General features: G+C 51.6%; 1 long non-coding RNA gene across 2 annotated transcripts, besides 6 other annotated features; it reads left to right on the top strand.

Annotated features, from left to right (window-relative positions):
* Window positions 3490–4359: an enhancer, noted in NCBI's record as "H3K4me1 hESC enhancer chr2:10690693-10691562 (GRCh37/hg19 assembly coordinates)". NCBI's record gives its function as "activates a minimal SCP1, AML or CMV promoter by ChIP-STARR-seq in naive H9 embryonic stem cells {active_cell/tissue: H9 hESC(naive)}" and the evidence as "EXISTENCE:reporter gene assay evidence [ECO:0000049][PMID:30033119]".
* Window positions 6102–6973: an enhancer, noted in NCBI's record as "H3K27ac-H3K4me1 hESC enhancer chr2:10688079-10688950 (GRCh37/hg19 assembly coordinates)". NCBI's record gives its function as "activates a minimal SCP1, AML or CMV promoter by ChIP-STARR-seq in naive H9 embryonic stem cells {active_cell/tissue: H9 hESC(naive)}" and the evidence as "EXISTENCE:reporter gene assay evidence [ECO:0000049][PMID:30033119]".
* Window positions 6102–7754: a biological region, named in NCBI's record as "BRD4-independent group 4 enhancer GRCh37_chr2:10687298-10688497".
* Window positions 6555–7754: an enhancer, noted in NCBI's record as "BRD4-independent group 4 enhancer chr2:10687298-10688497 (GRCh37/hg19 assembly coordinates)". NCBI's record gives its function as "activates an origin of replication core promoter dependent on BRD2, P300/CBP, MED14 and CDK7 cofactors, and independent of BRD4, by STARR-seq in HCT116 cells {active_cell/tissue: HCT116}" and the evidence as "EXISTENCE:reporter gene assay evidence [ECO:0000049][PMID:35650434]".
* Window positions 7844–8715: an enhancer, noted in NCBI's record as "H3K27ac hESC enhancer chr2:10686337-10687208 (GRCh37/hg19 assembly coordinates)". NCBI's record gives its function as "activates a minimal SCP1, AML or CMV promoter by ChIP-STARR-seq in naive H9 embryonic stem cells {active_cell/tissue: H9 hESC(naive)}" and the evidence as "EXISTENCE:reporter gene assay evidence [ECO:0000049][PMID:30033119]".
* LOC105373426 (uncharacterized) lies at window positions 7961–21329 on the top strand. Of its 2 annotated transcripts, XR_001739283.2 has the most exons (5): window positions 7961–8077; window positions 12848–12938; window positions 17938–19452; window positions 19554–19673; window positions 19959–21329. It is a non-coding gene; the product is annotated as an uncharacterized LOC105373426 (long non-coding RNA). The 2 variants fall into 2 exon arrangements; XR_001739284.2 differs by lacking the exon at window positions 17938–19452 and having other exon boundaries at window positions 19554–21329.
* Window positions 14714–15225: an enhancer, noted in NCBI's record as "H3K4me1 hESC enhancer chr2:10679827-10680338 (GRCh37/hg19 assembly coordinates)". NCBI's record gives its function as "activates a minimal SCP1, AML or CMV promoter by ChIP-STARR-seq in naive H9 embryonic stem cells {active_cell/tissue: H9 hESC(naive)}" and the evidence as "EXISTENCE:reporter gene assay evidence [ECO:0000049][PMID:30033119]".
* Window positions 21330–24839: the final 3510 nt, after the last annotated feature.

Genomic DNA, 24839 nt, shown 5'->3' with positions numbered 1-24839 from the left:
GCTGGAGTGCAATGGCGTGATCTCAGCTCACCATAACCTCCGCCTCCCAGGTTCAAGCAATTCTCCTGCCTCAGCCTCCTGAGTAGCTGCGATTACAGGCATGCACCACCACGCCAGGCTAATTTTGTATTTTTAATAGAGATGGGGTTTCTTCATGTTGGTCAGGCTGGTCTTGAACTCCCGACCTCAGGTGATTCACCCGCCTCGGCCTCCCAAAGTGCTGGGATTACAGGCGTGAGCCACCGCACCCGGCCTTATTTTAACCATTTTCAAACATGCAGCTCAGTGGCAGGAATCCATTCATTGTTGTGCAGCCATCACCAACATCCACCCCCAGAACTTGTTCATTATCCCCTGCTGAAACTTTGCACCCACAAAACACTCTCTATTTCCTCCTCCTCCCAGCCCCTGGTAACCGCCACTGGACTTTTCTCTCTATGAATTTGCCTCTTCCGGGTGCCTCATATCAGTGGAGTCATGTCCCTTTGTGTCTGGTTTTTTCACTTAGCGTAGTGTTGTCGAGGAGTCATGTCCCTTTGTGTCTGGTTTTTTCACTTAATGTAGTGTTGTCGAGGAGTCTGTCCCTTTGTGTCTGGTTTTTTCACTTAGCGTAGTGTTGTCGAGGAGTCTGTCCCTTTGTGTCTGGTTTTTTCACTTAACGTGGTGTTGTCGAGGAGTCTGTCCCTTTGTGTCTGGTTTTTTCACTTAACGTGGTGTTGTCGAGGAGTCTGTCCCTTTGTGTCTGGTTTTTTCACTTAACGTGGTGTTTTCGAGGAGTTTGTCCCTTTGTGTCTGGTTTTTTCACTTAACGTGGTGTTGTCGAGGAGTCTGTCCCTTTGTGTCTGGTTTTTTCACTTAACGTGGTGTTTTCGAGGAGTTTGTCCCTTTGTGTCTGGTTTTTTCACTTAACGTAGTGTTCTTGAGGTTCACCGGTGTGGTAACAGGTATTCGAGTTTCATGCCTGCCCATGGCTGACTAGCATCTACTGTGTGACTGGGCCTCACTGCACTGATGCGTCCCTCTGCGGAGGGACAAGTGGGTCGCTTCCACCTTCTGGTGACTGTGAATAACACTGCTGTGAACATGGGTGTGCACTCTCTGTTGGAGTCTCTGCTTTCAGTTCTTTTGGATATATACCCGGGCGTGAAACTGCTGGGTCATAGGGTAATTCTGTGTTTAACTTTTTTTCTTTCTTTCGAGACAGAGTTTCTCTCTTGTTGCCCAAGCTGGAGTGCAGTGGCGTGATCTCGGCTCACTGCGACCTCCGCCTCCCGGGTTCAAGCAATTCTCCTGCCTCTGCCTCCCGAGTAGCTGGGATTACAGGCATTCGCCACACCTGGCTAATTTTTTGTATGTTTAGTAGAGATGGTATTTTGCCATGTTGGCCAGGCTGGTCTCGAACTCCTGACCTCAGGTGACCCACCCACCTCAGCCTCCCAAAGTGCTGGGATTACAGGCATGAGCCACGGCACCCAGCCTGGGCTTTTTCCTGTTGCTGTCATTGAGGAATTGTAGTTCTTTACATGTTCTGGAGAGGGACATCACATTCTATGTTTGATTTTTATCCATCTGTGCACACATATCCAGAAGCAGAAATTCAAGTGTAGGGGGGCTGTGGGGGGACTGAGAAAGGCTTATATAAAAGGCTTGGCAACAAAATCAAATCAGCCTTTGCAGAGGTCCCTGTTCCTTCCATTCCCAAGGGAACATTCCAGAAACCCCCACTGTGGGCTGGGCTTCTCAGTCTTTTCTCCATGTCCTGTTGCAAGCCCGAGAGCCCTGAGCCCATGGGCCTGTGTGGTGGTGGTCCACAGCCTCCAGGCCAGGGGAGGAAGGGTAGACCTTGCTGGGCTTGGGTGCTCACCCGCCAGGCTCCCATCCTCAGTGCCCCTGGGAACCCTGTCGGCATCGCCTTGAGTGCCCCTGCTGTCTGTCTCCGGCCCCCCTGGGTCAGCCCCTTCCTGAATGCCCCTTGCACCCATCCGTGCCCGTCTTCTCCAGGAGCAGGAATTCGGCCTGTAATGGATGCAGTTTTATTATTGAGGGAGGCAGTGAGTGTGGGTATCAAAAAGGAGAAAGAAACCCACCCGGCGTTCTTCCACAGTGCATGACGCGGCTGAAGGATACAGTGGACTTACCCACTTCAGTGACTCCCAAATTATTCATCAGATTCCTCGAATTGTACACACATCCCAATTCCTCATCTAGAGGGCGTTTTCCACCTGGCATCAGCTCCCAGGGATTTTGGCCTTCATTGTCACTGCTTGGCTGGGAAGGGGAGGTGACGAGCTGCATGCTGGTGGCAGATGCAAGTTGAATTTGAAGGCCCCCAGCTCCAGGACTGGATGTGGTGCCTGCCCCAGCCTGTGGGGCACCTTAAGGGCCCTGTGGCTTTAAGAGCCAAGGCCGGCTCTGTCCCCCTGCTCAGCCCAAGTTACTAGAAGGCCAAGGCAGAGGCCTCACAGCCTCAGAAGGAACCAGCCCTGCCCACACCTTGGTCTCTGGCCTCCAGAACTGTGAGACAGGATGTGCCTGCTGTTTAAGCCCCTGGTGTGTGGTGCTATGTGACAGCAGCCCTGGCAAACTCACATACCTGGAAGCCCTGGTTACAGCCACGTGGTTTGTTGAAGTGGAGCTTGGGGGCCTAAAGGAGGGGCTTCTGCTCTGCCTACAGCCCCCGAGCCCAGGGGAGTTTCAACAGTGATGCCCTCTAGGTTCTGGCAACAATTGCGTGTCCTCAGAGGTAGTGGAAGGGAGCACCTCGCATGGCTGATTGAGACTGGAAAACAAGGTCCTGGCGAGAGAGAGAGAGAGAGAGAGAGAGCAACAGAGAGAGAGCCCGAAGCCCACCCATGGGAAGCCCCCATCACAGACTTGGCCCCGCTTAGGCACAGACCTCTCCACGTTAGCGATGGAAGTTATCTGAGTCACACGGCAGCGGAAGATGTTAGCGGCGAATCCATACAGGGCTGCAGCAACCTCCTCAGAAGAACGAATTTGAGGGGCATGAGGCAGGAGAGACTGGGGCAAGTTTTAGGGCAGGAGTGAAAGTTTATTAAAAAGCTTTAGAGCTGGAATGAAAAGAAAGGAAAGTACACTTGGACGCGGGCCCAGCAGGCGACTCGAAAGACAAGTGCGACGCTTGACCTTTGACTTGGGGTTTTGTATGGTGGCCTGCCGGGGGCTTGCATCCATTCTCCCCGATTCCTCCCTCGGGATGGGCTGTCGCATGCACAGTGGCGGCCAGCGCTTGGGAGGGGAGCATGCGCAGTGTGCGCACTGGAGCTGTACACATGCTCCCTTGAGGCGTTCTTCCCATGCCAGTCGAATGTCCCTAGAATGTCATATACCGCTTATACTCCGCCATTTCACCTCTCGGTGCACACGTGTGAGCCCACCTGCCCAGCTCCTGAGGTCTCATGGGGAAGCTGCTGATGGCCAGCTTCAGGTGTTTTCTATTAGGAGACTGCCTTTCCCTGGAGCTGGCTGCAACCAATTATTATTATTATTGTTATTTTTAATTTAATTTTATTTTTTTGAAATGGAGTCTCTGTTGCCCAGGCTGGAGTGCAGTGGCGCGATTTCAGCTCACTGCCACCTGTGCCTCCCGGGTTGAAGCAATTCTCCTGCCTCAGCCTCCTGAGTAGCTGGGATTACAGGCATGCACCACCACACCCAGCTAATTTTTGTATTTTCGGTAGAGATGGGGTTTCACCATTTTGGCCAGGCTGGTCTCGAACTCCTGGCCTCAAGTGATCACCTGCCTCAGCCTCCCAAAGTGCTGGGATTAGAGGCATGAGCCACCACACCCGGCCCCATTATTATTTTAGAGAGACAGTCACCAACCGCCTGACCATCCCTTGATGGTCGCGGACACTCCTGGGGGGGTGGGGGTGCCTCTCCTGCCCTGCTCATGTCTGACCAGCCACCTTCTGTAACATGGGGAGCCTGAGTGCTGGTGGATGGAGCAGGGGCAGCCCCCAGCACCCGCTGCCACCTGGTGCTGGATGTCCCTCTTTCCCGAACTGAGGAACAAGCGGCTGTGGAACCAGTGATGGCGGCTTATTGCTTCCTGGATGGAGCGGGCTGGGTTTCCTTCCCGTCCCAGCACTGCCCCCACCCCCCACCCCCAGGGCAGCAGCTCCCTCCCTGGAAAAGGCTGAGGACACGTGTATCCTGGCAGCTGGGCTGAGGGTACATCCTCTTGATTGTTTGAAGGAAAGTTCAGGAGTAAATATGGAAAAAGCCAGCAGCGTGTGGCAGGCCGCCTGCCCAGGGGGTGTGGCCGGGCCCTGGGAGCGTGGCCCCCCTGCCACTGGCCTGGATGCAAGCCCCAGCTCCCCAGTGCCTGGGGCCTCCTCTCCACAGGGACACTGGGGTCAGGAGAGCCTGGAGAGCTACTGGGTCTGATGGAACAAAAGACAGCATTTTCAGGGGGTGCTGGGGGTCCCCATGGTCCACAGTAACCTGTTCCAAGGTCTGCCCCAGGGCCCAGAGAGCCTTGGGGATGGAAGCAGACAGTGGACAGTGGTGCCCGGGGAGGCCAGGCAGGGATGGGGCCCCACCATCCGGCCGCCCTCTGGGGGCTGGGAAAGGGGTTCAGTTGCTGCAGGTTTCTGGCCCAGTGCCCCTGGAGATCAAGCCCCAGTCCCTTAGCTGCCCCACTAGTCCTGCCTTGCAGCCTCACTGTCCCCATCTCTCAGGGTGCCTGCCCGTCACCACTGTACACACTGTCACTCGAGGCCCAGCACCACTCTCTGCACACTTTGTGGGCTATAAAGACCTACTTATTTTCCGTTTGTCAGCATCGCTCTGTGACTTGATTTAGAAGGGTCCTAGGATCCTAGGATGGGATCCCCTTCTCAGCCGACCCCCACATTCTCCCCACCTGGCACAGAGCAGGCACTCAGTTCAGGGCTGGGTTGCTGCATTTAATTATTCCTGGGTAGAAGTCTCGAGCAGGTTGAAGTTCAAGCCGAAAAAGAACCATGTACATTACAGGAATGCCAAATTGCCCGGGAGGGTGACAGCGCCTCTGGAGGGGTGCATTCAATCAAAAGGTGCGGGGACACACGGCCCTGGAGGGCCTCCAGCACTGAGATCCTGAGCGCCTTTGTGAGTGGGGCACACAGGCTGGGTGGCCTTCATCAGATGTGCCGTCTCAGAACCCGGGCACGGTCCAGTGTCTCACAGATGCCAGCTGCCTCCAGACGTCCGTGTCTCCTTTACCCCCACCACAGTGCACTATTTGCTGCTTGAAAATGCTTGTGATGCCTGCGTGCCTCTTCTCCCCTTCTTCCAGCTGGTACCCCAAAAGTGAGCACGTGCCCCTGGAGAAAGCGCCGCCTTCACGCCTCCCTGAACTCACTCAGTGCTGGACAAGGAGATGTGAGCAGAAGCAGTGTGTGCCACTTCTAGGAGTTCATGTCCTCAAGGGCGGAGCATCCCTTCCAGTCCCCACGGCTGGAATTTCAACGTAATGACCCAAGTTCCAGCAGCTGCAAGGACAGGTCCTGCACCCCAGGGAGGACACACTGAAACCGGGAGGAGCCTGATCCTTACGATGTCGGTGCCACTGCTGGAGGTGACAAGGAACCTCTGTGACATGAGAGGACAGGGCTTTGGATTTTTCTGCTAAATCTCCTACCTGATATAGTCAAATCACAGCACTGTCCGGGAAGGGAGACTGTTATGTTTCCTTGGAGGGGGAGTCCATATTTTACATTTATTTGTATTCTTTTTGTCATCTAGCACAGAGTAAGCATTTTGATCTGATTTGATCCAATCTTTTCAAATTCTGTTACTCAGGGAGTGACAAAATCTACACCATGCCTCCCTGCCGTCTCCAACATGCCCTGTTTTCTCATCGGCAAACTCCCTCTTAGGTTCCAGACGGGACTCTTTGGAAGGCTGCGGAGCTTGCTTTTGCCCCAGTTTCTGCTGATCTTGGGTCTGGATGACATCACCTCTCAGATCTGATCTTTCCAGATGGGACATCCACCCGGCAGTGGCTGCTTAAGGCATCTGCTGCCCGCCGACTGAGCATCTGAGCAAAGCCATGTGGCAAGTCAGAGTCCGAGAAAGGAAGGGCTTCCAGGAAGGAAGGGCTGGGGTCAGCCGGCAGATGCCGAGCCGCTCAAGGTGGGGAAAGCCGGCCTTCCGATGGGGCCCCGGGGCAACAGGACCGGGTCATCCCAGCAGAGGCGCACACGCGGCCAGGCTGCAAGCACTGAGGGCGCCTGGAGCAAGGAAAGCCACAGCAGCAAGGAATCACCCCTCGTCAGGGAAGTTCACAGCGATAGGAATGAAATAGAACAGTGGCTTCGGGAGCCACAAGGTGGGCTTTCCTTGGATAGAATCTAGAAGTGAAAAAGTGACGGCTCTTTTTCAACGAGTGGCAGCCACTTCTCCTTAGCCTGGGTCTGCTCTCCAGGCATTGCTGCGGGGAGGGGCAGGCACTATTTTTTCTTGGTACTACCCATCTGTATTGCTTATATTTTTTCAAAGCCTGTTTACCTACTCCTGTCATTTAAAAGAAAAACATTTTAAATAGATTCCTGAGCGGGTCATCAGACCAGGGGCCACCAATAAAAAAACTTGGAAATTCCACTTGCTCCAAGGACTTGGCTTTGGGGGGAAATGTCAGAATCAAAACAGGCAGCCGCAGATTTTGAATGGAACGGGTCTGGGACATGCCTTTCCTCTGAGCCTGAGGTGGTCCCAGGTCCCAGCACGAGCCCTTTGTTGTCACGTGACCAGGAGCCAAACCCTGCCTTCGGTTTTGTTTCCTGTGAAATAAGGCCCCGGGTGGCAGTGGCAGGGCGGAGGTGTGCTTTCGCAGTTGGGGGTGAAGCCAGGTAGTCACGAAGGTCAATTATAGGGCAGGGACAAGGCCACGGGGCCGTCTAATAATGAAAGGATATATGAGATTGTCTTTCTTTCTTTCCACACGCAGCTTACTCCTGTAGCTGCTGTGCTGAGCTCCATATGAAAAGGTTACTGACCACAGAGCTTTGGGTTAGTTCCTGGTGAGAACTCCAGGGTAGGGTGGGTAGGGGAAGCGTGCCTTCCGCCGTGGGACAGTGTCTCGGTGCCTGACTGTATTAGGGTTCTCCAGAGAAGCAGAACCAACAGGATGTATAGAGAGCAGTAGAAAGAGATTTATTATGAGGGACTGGCGTGTGATTACATAGGCCACGATGTCCTAAGATCTGCTGTCTGCACTGCACTGGGGATTCAGGAAAGCTGATGATGGAGGTCCCAGGCTGAGTCCAAAGGCCCTAGAACCAGGAGCTCTGACGTCGGAGGGCAGGAGAAATGCATGTTCCAGCTCAGGAGAAAAGAGAGACAATGGGCCTTTCCTCTGCCGCTTTGTTCTATGAAGCCTTCCTCGATGGGTTGGATGAGGCCCACCCGCAGGGAAGAGAGCGGATCTTCTTTACTGGGTCCCCTGATGGAAATGCCAATCGCTTTCAAAAACTATGCCCCCCACCCCGCCCCCCGCACTGACACACCCAGGAATAATGTTTTGCTGCTTATCTGAGCATCCCTTAACCTAGTCAAGATGACTCATAAAATTCACCACCGCGCTAACCCCAGGTGTGCTACATACCTTGAAGTGCTAAATACTGGATGAGATACTTTACTGCTGGGATCTAACAGCTTCTCATCCAACCCTAGAAAGCCCCTAGGATCTTCCTCCTCATGAGTGAATAGATTAAGGCTGACCAAGGTCTCCCAGCCCCTGAGTGGCCCAGCTGGAATTTGAGTTCGTGACTATCAGTCTTCAAATCTGAGTCGTGCCTACTCCAGGCTGATGCAGCCCTGAGCGGCTGAATGAGCTGGCAGGCGCAGGATGTGTCTACTGAGTTAAATCGAATGTACTGGAAGGGAGGGGACTTAGGACACATTATATTATTCATGCATTTTTGCACTTACTTATCAGGGACCTGCTGTGTGCACATTCTGATACTGAGCTCAGCAGAGGTACAAGAGAAATATACCGCCACGGCTTCCTTCAAAGAGCTCGCCGCATGGCTGGGAAGCAGTAGCAGGGAGGCTTCGCTCAGTGCAGACGGTAAGATCTGCGGGCCCCAGGAGAGAGAAAGCCTGCGCCTGGGGTATGGGGTAAAGGCATCATTCAAGAATATTTCCTGAAAGAAGTTGGGGTTGAGCTGCACAATATGGCATGAACAGGGCTCGAGTTCATGCCAAGAACTCGGGAATTTGTTACAAGGACTTTGTTTGGAACTTTGTTCCAAGAACAAAGGAAGAGCATTCCAAAAGGGGAAAATGGAATAAGCGAAGCACCAGAGATAGGTACGTGTAAGGCATATTCGGGGGGCAATAGATCAAACCGGCTGCAACAGCAAAGGCTGTGGTGGCGTCTAGTAAGTTTGGAGGATACCAATAGATAATTATTCAACATTTATTTATTTATTTAGAGACAGTCTTACTCTGTCGCCCAGACCGAAGTGCAACGGCAGGATCTCGGCTCACTGCAACCTCTGCCTCCCGGGTTCAAGCAATTCTTGTGCCTTAGCCTCCCAAGTAGCTGGGATTACAGGCTCCCACCACCATGCCCGGTTAATTTTTGTATTTTTAGTAGAGACGGGGTTTCACCATGTTGGCCAAGGTGGTCTCGAACTCCTGACATAAAGTGATCCACCCACCTTGGCCTCCCAAAGTGCTGCGATTATAGGCATGAGTCACCACGCCTGGCCTATTCAACCTTTAAAAAGAAAAATTCTGGGCCAGGCATGGTGGCTCACACCTATAATCCCAGCACTTTGGGAGGCCAAAGCGGGCGGATCACCTGAGGTCAGGAGTTCAAGACCAGCCTAGCCAACATGGTGAAACCCCGCCTGTACTAAACACACACACGCACACACGCACAAAAAAAAAAAAGAAAGAAAGAAAGAAAGAAAGAAAGAAAGAAAGAAAGAAAGAAAGAAAGAAAGAAAGGAAAGAAGAAAATTAGCCAGGCATGGCAGGTACCTGTAATCCTTGCTACTCAGGAGGCTGAGGCAGAAGAATCACTTGAACCCGGGAAGGGGAGGTTGCAGTGTGCCAAGACTGCACCACTGAACTCAAGCCTGGGTGACAGGGCAAGACTCCTTCTCAGGAAAGAAAAAAAAAGAAAAACTCTGACACATTCTACGCCATGAATGAACCTTGAACCTTGAGGACATGATACGAGTGAAATATTCCAGTCACAAAAGGACAAAAACTCTGTGATTCCACTCCTGTGAGCTTCTAGAGCAGCCATAGCTACAGACAGAAAGTAGAAGGTGGGTGCAGGACTGGAAGGTAGGCGGAATTGGGAGTTGTTGTTTAATGGGTATGGAGTTGCAGCTTTTTTCTTCTTCTTCTTCTTCATTTTTTTTGAGATGGAGTTTCATTCTTGTTGCCCAGGCTGGAGTGCAATGGCAGGACCTTGGCTCACTGCAATCTCTGCCTCCCAGGTTCAAGAGATTCTCCTGCCTCAGCCTCCAGAGTAGCTGGGATTACAGGTGTGTGCCAGCACGCCTGGCTAATTTTTTTTGTATTTTTAGTAGAGACGGGATTTCACCGTGTTAGCCAGGATGGTCTCGATCTCCTGACCTCGTGATCCTCCCACCTCAGGCTCCCAAAGTACTGGGATTACAGGCGTGAGCCACCACACCCGGCCCTGGCTAATTTTTTGTATTTTTTAGTAGAGACAGGGTTTCACCATGTTGGCCAGGCTGGTCTCAAACTCCTGACCTCAGGTAATTTGCCTGCCTTGGCCTCCCAAAGTGCTGGGATTACAGGTGTGACCCACCGTGCTCGGCCATGGAGTTGCAGGTTTGCAAAACGAAATAGTTCTGGAGATGGACGGTGGTGATGGTCGCATAACAATGTCAGCATACTCAATGTCATTGACCTGTACACTTCAACACTTCAAAATGCTTATGATAACTGTTGTGTGTGTGTGTGTGTGTGTGTGTGTGTGTGGTGTGTGGGTGTGTGTATACTTTTTTTTTTTTTTTTGAGACAGAGTCTTGCTCTGTCGTCCATGCTGGAGTGCAGTGACATGATCTCGGCTCACTGCAACCTCTGCCTCCCAGGTTCAAGCGATTCTCCTGCCTCAGCCTCCCGAGTAGCTGGGATTACAGGCACACACCACCCACGCCCGGCTAATTTTTGTGTTTTTAGTAGAGACAGGCTTTTGCCATGATGGCCAGGCTAGTTTCGAACTCCTGACCTCTGGTGATTCACCCACCTTGGGCTCCCAAAGTGCTGGGATTACAGGCGTGAGCCACCACACCCAGCCATGTTATGTATATTTTACCACAATTTTTAAAAATAGGTCAAAGTTTTTGTAGTTTGGAAGGTACAGACGTCTTTTGTGGCTTGCGTGCTGCACGCCGAGGAGTCTGGACTTCACCTCGTAGGCTAGTGGTCTGCTTCAGTTTCCTCTTGCTACATAACCAACTACCTCAAAGCTCAGAGGTTTAAAACAGCCACCACTGTATTTGCTCACGTTCTGCGGGTCAGGAACTTGAGCAGGGCTCCACTGGGCAGGTCTTCGGTTCCACGTGGTATTGATGTGGGTCTCTTGTGAAGCTGCTATCACAGGATGGCTGGGGCTGGAACAACCAAGACGGTGCCACCTCTGTGTCTGGTGTTTGCAGGAATGGCTGGGACAGTAAGACTTCTCTCCTTTTCTCCCTATATTCCTAACTTGGTGGTTGGACCGCAAGAATGGGCTTCCCAAGTGACCAAGGTAGAAACTGTTTCTATCTTAAGACCAAAATTTGGAGCCTACATAGCGTTAGTCCCACCGCATTTCATTGCTCAAAACAAGCCCAGCTTCAAAGGGGAGGGGGAAAGCTGGCACTATTTCCTAAGGAAATTGTGGCAAGGTTGCTTTGCAAAGGAGCAGAAAAGATAGAGATTATTGTTATTGTCAGTGAAAAGTCTTGGAGCTAACTTAGTTTTCTGTTGTTGTTGTTTTTTGAGACGGAGTCTTGCTCTGTCGCCCAGGCTGGAGTGCAGAGTGCAGCGGCACAATCTTGGCTCACTGCAAACTCCGCCTCCCGGGTTCACGCCATTCTCCTGCCTCAGCCTCCCGAGTAGCTGGGACTACAGGCGCCCGCCGTACACCTGGCTAATATTTTTGTATTTTTAGTAGAGACGGGGTTTCCCCGTGTTAGCCAGGATGGTCTCGATCTCCTGACCTCGTGATCCACCCGCCTCGGCCTCCCAAAGTGCTGGGATTACAGGCTTGAGCACCGCGCCCAGCGCTAACTTTGATATGTATGTTTCTTTGCAAACTATACACATATATTTTTATTAGTTTAATATTTATTTATTTATTTATTTTTGAGACAGAGTCTCACTCTGTCACCCAGGCTGGAGTGCAGTGGCGTGATCTCAGCTCACTGCAACCTCCGCCTCCTGGGCCCAAGCGATTCTCCTGCCTCAGCCTCCCAAGTATCTGGGATTACAGGTGCCTGTCACTATGCCTGGCTAATTTTTTGTATTTTTGGTAGAGACAGGGTTTCACCATGCCGGTCAGGCTGGTCTCGAACTCCTGACCTCATGATCCACCCACCTTGGCTTCCCAAAGTGCTGGGATCACAGGCATGAGCCACTGCACCCGGCCACACATGTATTATTGTACTTATATATCATGTACTTATAAAACTTACACAAAAAATGGAAACAGAAAGACTTACTATGAAGTTAGATCAACAATATTTTTAAATGATTGTGATTTTGGTTTCCATTAACGGCTCAAAAATAACCTTTCGCTCTCAATAATCTCAAAAATAACATTTTGTTGGTGAAAGCAAGGTGATGGGGTATGCTTTGTTCTCTTACAAAATCTTGGTTTAATAATTGGTTTAATGATCTGAAGATCTTGTTCTAAGTTATTTCAATACTTGATTTTGATGGACGTCATAGCCGAAAATACACAGCCAAAGTTACAGAGAGCCAGAAGGAAGAAGGGCCTTGTCCACCCACATGAAACCAGGTTTCTCTTTTAAATCCACTGGTATGCAAACATTTTTGTTTGCTTGTTTTAAAAATCTGACAACTGTTATCATCCTTATTGTCAATCTATTGTTTTTGCAAAGTAACTGGAAGTTTTTAATATTTTTAATAAATGTGATCAAAATCTACCAATTCTCCTCATTGGGATGATTTTTAAACAAGATAAAGAATTACATTTTTTGGCTGGGCATGGTGGCTCACTCCTGTAATCCCAGCACTTTGGGAGGCCGAAGCGGGCAGATCATTTGAGGTCAGGAGTTCGAGACCAGCCTGGTCAACATGGTGAAACCCCATCTCTGCTAAAAAAATACAAAAATTAGCCAGGTGTGGTGGTGCACGCCTGTAATCCCAGCTACTTGGGAGGCTGAGGCAGGAGAATCGCTTGAACCCAGGAGACAGAGGTTGTAGTGAGCCAAGATCACACACCATTGCACTCCAGCTTGGGTGACAGTGCGACTCTGTCTCAAAAAAAAAAAAAAAAGAATTATGTTTTCAAGTTTGTCATTGCTGTTGTCCACAAGTTTTTCCAGCCCCCAAGTTTTTTCAGCCTGAAGATGTGAAAGTTGTTTAGTTGACAAATCGTTCATTGCTCCTTCCCTAAAAATATCAAGCAGTAATAACATTTCCAAACATTGTTCAAACTGCCCAATTGCACAATATAAAGCAATGACTTTCTTAGGATTATCAGAATGTCACTGTCTCCAGCAGATCGTGTGAGTGTGTGCCTGCATTCTCAGAGTCGGCTAGGTTGCTACCACGCATAGCCACCGTATGAAAGAAAGGGTCGCTAAAATTGGAGCACTTGCTTTTTGTTTGTTTGTTTAAGGCTCGATGGGTCTTTTCAATATTCTGTCACAAGATCACCAGTGAATCTCTGCGGAACAAAAGATTTCCTTCGCTTCTCGTCTCAGTGCAAGGTACTGAAAAGATGCTCAGCTGTTGAAAGGTCTTGCGTTATGAAACTGACCGCTTCTGGTCACTCTGCTCTCTGGCCTCCTCCCCTACCTGCCTCAGTGACGAAGGCAACGAATTCCCTGTTTCACTCTCTTTGTAACCCCATTCTGCCTTCCTTTTTCCTTTTAAATTCCAAGTAAAACGCAGCCCCCCTGGCTTACAGAGTTTTTCTTTTTCTTTTTTTTTTTTTTTTTTTTTTTTTGAGACGGAGTCTCTCTCTGTCGCCCAGGCTGGAGTGCAGTGGCACAATCTCGGCTCACGGCAAGCTCCGCCTCCCGGGTTCACGCCATTCTCCTGCCTCAGCCTCCCGAGTAGCTGGGACTACAGGCACCCGCCACCGTGCCCGGCTAATTTTTTGTACTTTTAGTAGAGACGGGGTTTCACTGTGTTAGCCAGGATGGTCTCGATCTCCTGACCTCGTGATTCACCCGCCTCGGCCTCCCAAAGTGCTGGGATTACAGGCGTGAGCCACCGCGCCCGGCCCCAGAGTTTTTCGATAACACATTGTTTTCATTACAGAAGTCATTTACAGTTGAGAAAATGCCTTCTCTGGCAGGTCCTTCCTTTGGTGGCTCATGAAAAAGGAGTTCTTTATGCACTTCATCTGTGAAACATAACCTTTCCCAGATACAGTAACAATATCTGTAGTTTCATCCAACTGAGTGGCAAACTTCCCACTGAATAATTTGTTCTAATGGTTGTCTTCACATTTTCCAGCACTATTTGTTGACCAAAAAAATGTGTCTTGGTTTGCTGCCATCTTGCTTTCCAGTCTGTAATCCATTTAAGCATTTGCCCACTGGTATTGCCTCTTGGACTTTTTCTATTAAAACAGAAACAAAAACAAAAAAAACACCTCAGAGGGCTGGCCACGGTGGCTCATACCTGTAATCCCAGCACGCTGGGAGGCCAAGGTAGGATCATTGCCTGAGCCCAGGAGTTCAAGACCAGCCTGGGCAACATAGCAAGACTTCATTCTACAAAAAATTAAAAATTAGCTAACTGGGCATGCTAGGGGGAGGACCTGTAGTCCCAGCTACTCGGGAGGCTGTGGCGGGAGGATTGCTTGAGCCCTGGAGGTCGAGGCTGCAATGAGCTGTGATCGTGCCACTGCACTCCAGCCTGGGTGACAGAGCAAGACCCTATCTTAAAAAAACAAATAAACATTTTTTAAAAAACACCTAAAGGCTGGGCACGGTGGCTCACACCTGTAATCACAGCACTTTGGGAGGCTGAGGCGGGCAGATCACAAGGTCAGGAGATCAAGACCATCCTAGCTAACGCGGCAAAACCCCGTCTCTACTAAAAAAAAAACACAAAAAATCAGCTGGGCGTGGTGGCGGGCACCTGTAGTCCTAGCTACTCGGGAGGCTGAGGCTGGAGAATGGCGTGAGCCCTGGAGGCAGAGCTTGCAGTGAGCGGAGATTGCACCACTGCACTCCAGCCTGCGCGACAGAGCGAGACTCCATCAAAAAACGAAAACAAAAACAAAACAAAAACACCTCAAAAGAAGCTTCTAAACATTTTTCATTAAATCTCAAGAGTCCATAAAGAGTAGAACTGTAAACATCACAAACAGTGTTGAGGTTTGTCTTGGGTTCTGAAGGCTGAGTTTTGTAAATGTTTTGCTAATTGAGATAGTTTTATGGAATCTTGAGCTGTGATCCAATACCAATGCATAGCGTAGACTTAGAGGGAGGCTTCTTGTTAGCAATGACGATAGATACATAAATCCACATTTCCAATAGCCTTGGTAGTTTAGAAAAGGGAGGGGTGCTGACTTCTCATCACATTGGATTAGGTCTCTATTGCTTTTACTTGATATTTGTCAGCTCGGTTACCTGTTGTGTGGTTCTCCAATTCTCTAACACCAACTTGGTGTTCAACAAGTTAATTCAATTCTGACACTATCTACCTGGAGTTAGCATCAGACTCCACAGTTGAAGGGCTCAGTTCCACAAGACAGCCTCATTCAGATCCCAGCCACAAATGGGGTCCTCAGCCGACCTACACTTCTGCCCAGCTGACTTCGAATTCAGGAGTCCCCACCCCCAACCCTCAGGTTCGCTAATTCGCCAGAACGCCTCTCTGAACTAAGGGAAGTGTTCCCCTTGCCATTCCAGTTTATACAGGATACAAACAAGCCGTCCAGTGAAGAGGCACATGGAGAGTGCCAGAAGGGGCCAAGTCATGGCAGCCTGCGTCCCGGTGGAGCTGGGACGTGCTGCCCTGTTGGCGTGCGGATGCGTTCACTAACTTGGAATCTCCTCGAACCCCATCACTTAGGGGTTTTCAGCGGAGGCTTCACTATGCAGGCAAGACAGAGGAAGTCACTGGCCATTAGTGACAACTCACTCTCCAGCCCCTCTCTCCTTCCTGGAGGTGGGGGGTGGGGTGCTGAAAGTTCCAACCGAGGCTTGGTCTTGCTGGTGTCCAGCCCCACCCGGAAACTGTCTCAGTGCCCCATTTCCCCAAGACCCATCATTCATTAGCGTAAAGAAGACAGTTCAGTCACTCAAGAGAGTCCAAGTGTTTGAGGAGTTCTGTGTCAGGAGCCGGAGACAAAGATCAGAATTTTTGTTAAACCACACCTGTTGTTCACTGGGGCTTGTATGTTAGGATTATTTTCAATTTTAGGACTTTTTTTCTTTTTTGCTATGTTTTTTTTTGAAGCACTTCTCCATTTTAGAACAGTTACTTTGATTAAAATCTGATAATATAATCTATATATCCATAATGAATCCACCTAACTGGGCAAATGTTTCATGATCCTAAGAAGAGACAAATATGGGCAAGAGCACCTCTGTATTTTTTCTTTTTTAACAGGGTCTCACTCTGTCACCTAGGCTAGAGTGTAGTGGTAAGATCATGGCTCACTGTAGCCTCCGCCTCCTGGGCTCAGTGATCCTCCTGCCTCAGCCTCCCAAGTAGCTGGGACTATAGCACATGCTACCACACCTGGGTAATTAATTTTTTTTTTTTTTTTTTTTTTGTAGAAATGGGAGTCTTGCCATGTTGCTCAGGCTGGTCTGAAACTCCTGGGCTCAAGCAATCCTCCCACCTTGGCCTCCCAAAATGTTGGGACTACAAGTGTGAGGCAATGCACCCAGTCTCCCCTGTATTTTGTGTGCAGAAGTAACCTTCTGACTTACCTGCCAAGCAGGGACTAGTACCAATCTGAGTGATAAATATTTGTCAATCTTACTCTCTTAGGAAACAGAGTCATCAACATTTCTTGAGGTAGGGTGACTCATTCTTCCATGCATCCCACAGACATGCGTCAAGAGCTTACTGGGTTCTAGGAGGTGTGGTGGGTGCTGAAGCCACCAGATTGAATGCTAGGCCCTTGCCAAAACCAGGATAATCCTGGGCACACCGGGACAGCAGCCCCAACTCCATCCTGAGGAATGAAGAAATGATGCCACCCTCCATTCTGAAAAACCACATTCCCCCACGCTCCAGCTCTCCTGCATGCTCCAAACATGCTGCTTACAGGCGTGAGCCACTCAGCCTGGCTCAGCTCTTTTTTGATTGTTTTTGTTTTGAGACGGAGTTTCGCTCTTGTTGCCCAGGCTGGAGTGCAATGTTGTGATCTCGGCTCACTGCAACCTCCGCCTCTCAGGTTCAAGTGATTCTCCTGCCTCAGCCTCCCTAGTAACTGGGATTACAGGCGCCCGCCACCATGCCCGGCTAATTTTTTTGTATTTTTAGCAGAGACAGGTTTTCCCCATGTTGGCCAGGCTGATCTTGAACTCCTGACCTCAGGCAATCCACCCGCCTTGGCCTCTCAAAGTGTTGGGATTACAGGGGTGAGCCACTGCGCCTGGTCCCCAGCTCTGTTTTTAATAGCCAAAGAATAGTCAGACAGGAGGCGACTCTCTATCCAAGTCCCAGGGGATATCGATGCCAAATATAAAATGCCACCCCAACAGCCGACGACGGGGCTGGCGGGCAGGCTCGAGGCCTGGCTCTGCAGCATCGCTCAGTGGGGCAAACACCTGCTCTGGGAGCAGGCCAGGTCCCACATGGGAAGGATGCGTGCAGAAGACGACAGTCATGGGAAACAGAAAGGGCAATCAGGCGTCTGTCTGTGAAACGCAGCACCGGGTAGGTGGCTCTGTGTGGCTCTGGAAACTTGGAATATCATAGCGCCCTTTGTGTGCTCAGATGGTGGTTTCTCAAAGCACTCACCAGAAAGCCCACATCCTTCCGCTGAGGTTTAAGGTCCAGGGAGAGTGTTCCTGGTACCGAGTACCATAACCCAGGTTTTATGTGCGACTTCCCCCTGCATCTGTCTGCCAGGCGCCACCGGCCTCTAGTGCACCATGGTGGGGAGCAAAGCCCTTCCATCTCTGAGCTGCTCTGATGTCCACACCAGTCTTAATCTCAGTAGCCCTAAGCCACTGGTGTTGGTTTTGTACTCTGGGGTTTCATTCTAGAAGCCAGATCCTCCTTTTTTTTTTTTTTTTTTTGAGACAGAGTCTCACTCTCTCCCCCAGGCTGGAGTGCAGTGGCGCCATCTTGGCTCACTACAACCTCTGCCTCCTGGGTTCAAGCGATTCTCCTGCCTCAGCCTCCCAAGTAGCTGGGATTACAGGCACGCACCACCACACTTGGCTAATTTTGTATTTTTAGTAGAGATGGGGTTTCACCATATTGGCCAGGCTGGTCTGGGCAGACAACAGGGACACCGTGACCCCTCCCCGCCACTGGGCTTGACATTCATTGAGTGTGTGTGAAGGACACACACAGACCAGAGGAAATGTACATCCAGATTCCTCCTGAAAGGCGGTCACAGGATGCCCAAAGGAGAGGCGTTCCAGAAATCAGTAAATCTCCCCAGGGGATGTTCGAGCAAAAACGCACTCAGCAGTTCCATGACACGACGTTTGCTTTCTTCTTCTTTTTTTTTTGGTTGTTGTTTCCTGTGTAAATATTTTGTTCTTTTGTCTTTGTCAACAGCCTTGACCACACACATGTAAGCTTCGTTTCACTCAGCGGTTTCCAAGCTGACAATGTCCCAGGCGAGGCCGGGTTTCAGCAGACGCATCCCTGCATCCTCCACCAGCACTGTTTGTTCTGAAATCATCTTGTTCATGGGGATTCTGGGGAAAACCTTACTCAGCCCCCTTTCTCCTCCCTGTGGTGTCAGCATTCCCATCCTGGCTGCATATTCAACTCACCTGGGGAGACTAAAAAACACCCCAATACACAGGATCTGCTGAAACACCCCAATACACAGGATCTACCCAAACACCCCAATACACAGGACCCCCCAAAACACCCCAATACACAGGACCCCCCAAAACACCCCAATACACAGGACCCGCCCAAACACCCCAATACACAGGACCCGCCGAAACACCCCAATACACAGGACCCGCCGAAACACCCCAATACACAGGACCCGCCGAAACACCCCAATACACAGGACCCCTCAAAACACCCCAATACACAGGACCCGCCCGAGCACCCCAATACACAGGACCCGCCCGAGCACCCCAATACACAGGACCCACCAAACACCCCAATACACAGAACCCCCCGAAACACCCCAATACACAGGATCCCCCGAAACACCCCAATACACAGGATCCCCCGAAACACCCCAATACACAGGATCCCCCAAAACACCCCAATACACAGGATCCCCCGAAACACCCCAATACACAGGACCCACTGAAACGCCCCAATACACAGGATCCCCCAAAACACCCCAATACACAGGATCCCCCGAAACACCCCAATACACAGGACCCACTGAAACGCCCCAATACACAGGATCCCCCGAGATCCTGATTTAGTGTCAGAGAACCTGCTTCCTGGGTGATCCCAGTGTGAAGGCCTGGGCGGAAACCCATTTCAGGTTCCCACGCCAGCAGATGCCGAGTGACCACGCCTGGGCGGGCAGGGCTTTCGGTTCTTCCCAGCTGTGTGACCTTGGCAGGGCCCTGCAGCTCTCTGAGCCTTGGGTTCGCCCATGTGTGCTGGGATAGTGTCCCTGCCTTCCGTGTCTCTCAGGAGTATTGAGAACATCAAGTGAATTCCAGCATGGGGCCAGTGCAGGCCAGCAACCAAGAGCGCCCTGCTCCTTCAAGGCAGAGCCTGGAGCCAGGCCACAGAGGCCGGAAGACGCTGGAAGTGCGGCGGGAGCCGGTCCCATCTGCCCTCCGCACTCTGCCCAGGCTTCTGCCACCGAGCACTGCCTGGACCTGGTGGGGCATGACTGGGACCCAGGAAGGGTCTGCGACGTCAGTGACATAAAGCCCAATAGGACAGAAAAAGGAAGCACTTCTCTCATTGGAAGTGTTACCTAGATGTGGGAATGACAGTGCAGTCATTGTGAATGGAGGTCCTGGGGCCGAACCGCCCAGGTGAGAATCCAGCCTCTACCAGGAGAAGCTGCTGAAGTCTCATTTCTTCACCTGTACAATGGGCAGAGTTGCTTTGAGGATTAAATGAGATAATCCATACAAGGTGCTTGGCTTTTGTTAGGATTATGACTGGTACCTTACAGGCGCAGTTGCATTTCTTTTTCACAACAATCCCTATTACTATCATTCTCCTCTCTTTTACAGGTGACACCATGGAAGGTCAGAGAGGTTAGGGATCTAATTGCCCAAGGGGCAATGCCAGCAAGTGGAAACAGAGCCAGAACCTGAACCCACGTCTGCCTAACTCCAAAGACAGCTCTTTCTGTATGGTGTCCTGCTTGAACTCAGAATGGGTGCTTTTGGGGCTGTCTGAGAAACGGGAGTGAAGAATCTCCCAGGCGGCTGGGAGGAGGGCAGGGCCTGGCTGGAGACCCCCAGAGCAGAGTACAGGGACCACGTGGAAAAAGGGAGATGCAGAATCAGAGCCCCAGAGCAGTGGGTCGTGGAGGTCGAGGGCCTGGGGCCTAAAAAGGAAGTCACATTCTTTGAGCGTCGTGTGTCCCAGGCTCTGACGCATGTGTTGAAGAATGAATCATCATTGTCCTGCAGACCATCTATGACAGAGGAGGTGAAGATCAAGCCCTGGCCCAGTCACACGGGAGGCACTGTGGAGCTGTGGAGCCCGAAGCAGCAGACAGAGGGGTGAGGAGGGCCTGCGCCCTGTGGCAGGTGGGGGCCTCTAGGTGCCCCCTGCGGTGGGAAAGGCCCTGCCAAGAAGTCCTCGCTCTCCCTCCTGTCTAACATCAGCCTGCTCCCAACGGCTGGCTCCCATTCTCCTTCCTCCACAAAGCAAACTCCCATCCCCAGTCGGGCAGGCCACCTGCTCTCTACACCCCAAGGCCACCTCGGCCTATGTCGGGGTGAGCTTCCGCCCTCAATGGGACCTAGAAGGCGCAAGAGAAGAGCATGAGGTGGCAGCCATGTGCTGGGGGCCTGGATCCTGGGACCCAGATGCTGGGTCATATGGGGCAGCTGTGAGGTCTGTACTGGGGTCTCAACCCTGCATTCTAAGTGGGGTGAGGAGGGATTTCCTTTAGAATCCCCTCGGTGTCTCCCAAGGGTGTTTCTCTTGGTTAGTGGCATCGAGTTTGGCTCCTGGCTCTTTACAGCAGGGTCACTCTGAGCAAGACAGGCTTTTTGCAGCAGAAATGACTGCTGGCATCGAACCCTCAAGAGGACAGGACCTGAGACGGGCCATCCTTACTATTGGGTTCACAGGCAGCGAGGGCCCAGTGCCCAGCTGGCATTAGAAGATGGGAGCTTTCCTTGGCATGTGGTGGAGAAAGTCACAGGGCTGTGGCCAGTGCTCACCAGGAGTGAAGCCCCATGAAGCCCTGGGTGTGGCTGGCTGCTTGCCATGGGGTGAAGCATGTGCGGGTTGTGGGGCAGCAGGTCCCAGTGTCAGTGGGGGTTTACAGAAGGAAAACCGCAGGCTCAAGGCATAGAAACAGAACCAGCCAGAGAGCTTGTAGTCAGAGTCTCTGGACTGATGCAACTTACAACCCGAGCCGAGTCTGGTTTCAACACAGGGCAAACTCACAGCCCCTCCAGGTCTCTGATTGAAATGCTATGGCATTGTTGGCAACCAGCCGGAGCCTTCGGATTGTATCCAGGACTTCGGGAATGTTCACCTCACTGATTCCCAACCCCCAAAGCCCACAGAGCTGCCTTTGCAAACGAAAGCAGCCCCTTCTTCCTGTCTGGTGAGCTGGAGACCTTGTGCACAGCGCACCCATTGCCTTTAGACCTGTCACCCAGCAGGACGCAGGAGCCGGTAAGTACCCACTTTTGGAGACAGGAGGAGTATGCCTCCCAAAAAGCAATATTTGCCAATGTATTTTGTCAAAAACTTGGGGAATATGTCAGGCACGGTGGCGCACACCTGTAATCCCAGCACTTTGGGAAGCCAAGGGAGGTGGATCACTTGAGGCCAGGAGTTCAAGACCAGCCCGGCCAACATGGTGAAACCCTGTCTCTACTAGAAATACAAAAGTTAGCAGGGTGTGGCAGTGCACACCTGTGGTCCCAGCTACTTGCGAGGCTGAGGCAGGAGAATCGCTTTAACCTGGGAGGCAGAGGTTGCAGTGAGCCGAGATTGCGCCACTGCACTCCAGCCTGGGCAACAGAATGAGAGTCCATCTAAAAATAAAATAAATAAATAAATAAAAAACTTGGGGAATATATGTGAGAATGGATTTGAGGCTATTAGGCTTAGGAAGAAAGGAATAATTTTAGAATGGACAGATTTTATTACTATGGTGCAACTATAGCAAAGTCAGTGCCATTTTATGGTACAGTTTTTCAACATTCTGGAGTCAGTGTGCGTGTAACTGTCCTAAGCCAGGACAGCTGTAGGATCTACGGCCATTGAAATGGGCCCTCTGATTTCAAAGGGAAGGGTGGGCGTGTGACTGAGACGGGCAGCAGGACCCAGGGGTGAGCAGAACCAGCTGGGAGCTGATGGTCCCGCAGAGCCAGGAGCTCTGCAGTGGGGGGTCCGAGACCAGCCCCTGTGAAGGCATCACAGCACAGGTGCCAGGCGACAGAGCAAAGCCACACTCTCATCAGCAAGAAACTATGCACTTCACAAACATCTCCGAGGCTAAACATCAACCACAGGGACACCAAGTGACCACGATCACAAGCTATGCATCTCGAACTGAGCCTTGTGTGAGCCAGGGAGTCACAGGCTGGGTGTGCTCGGCCGCAGTTAGTCATCAGGGAGGTGGCATGTACACGGCTGTGCTTGAGAAGGTCCTGAAGGCACAGGTAAGCTGGCTCTCACTCCCCTCCCCTCGCTGCACCGCCCTCCCCGGCCCCTCGGTCTTGGCCTAACTGGCACCTGTGAGCACCATCCACCCACCCCCAGGTTCCCAGGCTGCCCAGCAAAGCTGACCCTCATGTCCTACCAAAGGGTCCCTATGGCCAAGTATCTTCATTCCCTAGGGCTGTCATCAGAAAGTGCCACAAACTAGGAGTCTTAAACAACAGAAATGTATATTGTCTCAGTTCTGGAGGCTTGAAGTCCAAAATCAAGGTGTCAGCAGGGCCACGCCCCCTCTGAAGTTGTGAGGGAGAGTCCCTCACTGCCTTTCAGTGCCCAGTGGTGGCCAGCAGTCCTCAGCATTCCTTGGGCCACAGGCGCGTCACTGCCGTCCCTGCTTCTGTCTCCCTGCATGTCTGTATCTCCTCTTCTTCTAAGGACACCAGTCATATGGAATTAGGGGCCCAACCTACTCCAGTATGAACTCATCCCAACAAATTACTTCTGTAATGAGCTTAATCCAAACGAGAATTGCATTCGGAGGTACTAGGGGTTAGGACTTCAAATGGTTCTTTTTCAGGGGGATATAATTCAGCCCAAAACACCAGGAGACCAGGGAGGAGAAATCTGAGCCGGGTTTCAGGACGGCTGTGTATGACCAGCTGATGCCAGCACCTGCCTGATGGGCTCCCAGCTGCGCTGCAGAACCGCCTGGGCTCAGTCCTGAAGGATGACGGGGAAGGGACAAGGAGGCTAGATCGCATGCAAACCAGAAGCCAGATGTGTCAGCCAGTACCCTGTGATAAATATCTCTCTTCTTAAACTGGCAAGAAGGGATCATATTATCTCAACAAAAACCCTGTGATTGAAGCATTCTTTTTTTGTCTTTTTTTTTTTCTTCTGAGATGGAGTTTCACTCTTGTCACCCAGGCTGGAGTGCAATGGTGACATCTCAGCTCACTGCAACCTCCTCCTCCGGGTTCAAGCAATTCTCCTGCCTCAGCCTCCTGAGTAGCTAGGATTACAGGTGAGTGCCACCACGCCCAGCTAATTTTTGTATTTTTAGTAGAGACGGGGTTTCGCCATGTTGGCCAGCCTGGTCTCGAACTCCTGACTTCAGGTGATCTACCTGCCTCGGCCTCCCAAAGTGCGGGGATTACAGGCGTGAGCCACCGCACCAGGCCGCCTTCTTTTTGTAATTAGAAAAAATAGTAAACATGCAAGCAAGAATCTTCCCAAGCTGATGCAAGCGGGGAGTGAGGGGATGGTGTTCTGCGGGCTGCTGGGAGTGCCGGCCCCACCCTTTTCATCTAAACCCTCTATCTGGTCTTGCTGTGTTGCCCAGGCTGTTCTTGAGCTCCTGGGCTCAAATAGTATCCCCCACCTCCTGCCCCGACCTTAGCCTCCAGCAGAGCTGGGACTATGGGTGCGCCCCACCATACCTGGCCTGGGAGGTGCCTCTTCTAGTAATAATTCTCAGAGCCATGGTGGCTCTGCACTCCAGGTCCTCTGGGATCTGTCCCCACCAACCTGCTTCCTCTTCGGCCCAACTCCAGCCAAAGACCCAGAACTCCCCAGTGAGACCCCATTTTCTGCCTCCCTGAGGGACACACCACTGAGGCCACCAGTGGGGAGCCAGGCCTAGTCACACATCTGGGAGGGAACATGAGGTGACTCAGGCCACGAATCAGCTTTGGGAAGGAGCATGCTCCTGCGGCTTGGAGACGCTTAGATAAGAAGTAGATTGGGAACGGGCAAGCAAGCAGATCTGATTAAAGGGAGCTGAGTGAGCAGCCCTGAGCGAGCCGGGCTGGTGAGCCTGTTCTGTGTCCACAGCCTCCATTCAGCCTCTCGGTGCCTGTCAGTAGCAGGGCACCCCAAGTCCCTGCAGTCCCAGTGAAGAGCTCTGGAAGCAGAGCCCAACCCTTCCATTGTACAGGTCAGGAGACTGAGGCCTGGAGCTGGGACCAGAGCCTGGCCCTCCTTGGTTCCTTGTTCTTGGCCTGACTGGCATCTGAGCATCATCCACTCCCCCAGTTTCCAGGTCACCCAGCAAAGCCATCTGCGTCCTTCTCTACAGGCCCTGCCCAAGAGGCCCTGGGGGAAGAATAAATGAGAAACCCCATCCCAAAGGAGAGGGCAGAGCAAAGGCCTCAAGGAGGAGGGCTGCAGCTGTGGTGGTCTCCAGAAATAGAGACATTGCTCACAGCAACGTCCAGTGGGCCAAACAGCCCATTTAAAATGCCAGTTGAGGCTGGGCATGGTGGCTCACGCCTGTAATCACAGCACTTTGGGAGGCTGAGGCAGGCAGGTCACTTGAGGTCAGGAGTTCGAAACCAGCCTGGTCAACATGGTGAAACCCCGTCTCTACTTAAAATGCAAAAAAAAAGCTGGGCACGGTGGCATGCACCTGTAATCCCAGCTACCCAAGAGGCAGGAGAATCACTTGAGCCCAGGAAGCAGAGATTGCAGTGAGCCAAGATCACACCACTGCACCCCAGCCTGGGTGACAGAGCAAGACTCTGTCTCAAACAAATACATAAAATGCCAGGGTGCAGTGGCTCACGCCTGTAATCCCAGCACTTTGGGAGGCCGAGGCAGGCAGATCACCTGAGGTCAGGAGTTCGAGACCAGCCAGGCCAACATGGTGAAACCCCGTCTTTACT

The sequence above is a fragment of the Homo sapiens genome, chromosome 2, assembly GCF_000001405.40.
Source record: "Homo sapiens chromosome 2, GRCh38.p14 Primary Assembly".
Classification (NCBI taxonomy): domain Eukaryota; kingdom Metazoa; phylum Chordata; class Mammalia; order Primates; family Hominidae; genus Homo; species Homo sapiens.
This window is presented reverse-complemented; position numbering and strand designations above follow the sequence as displayed.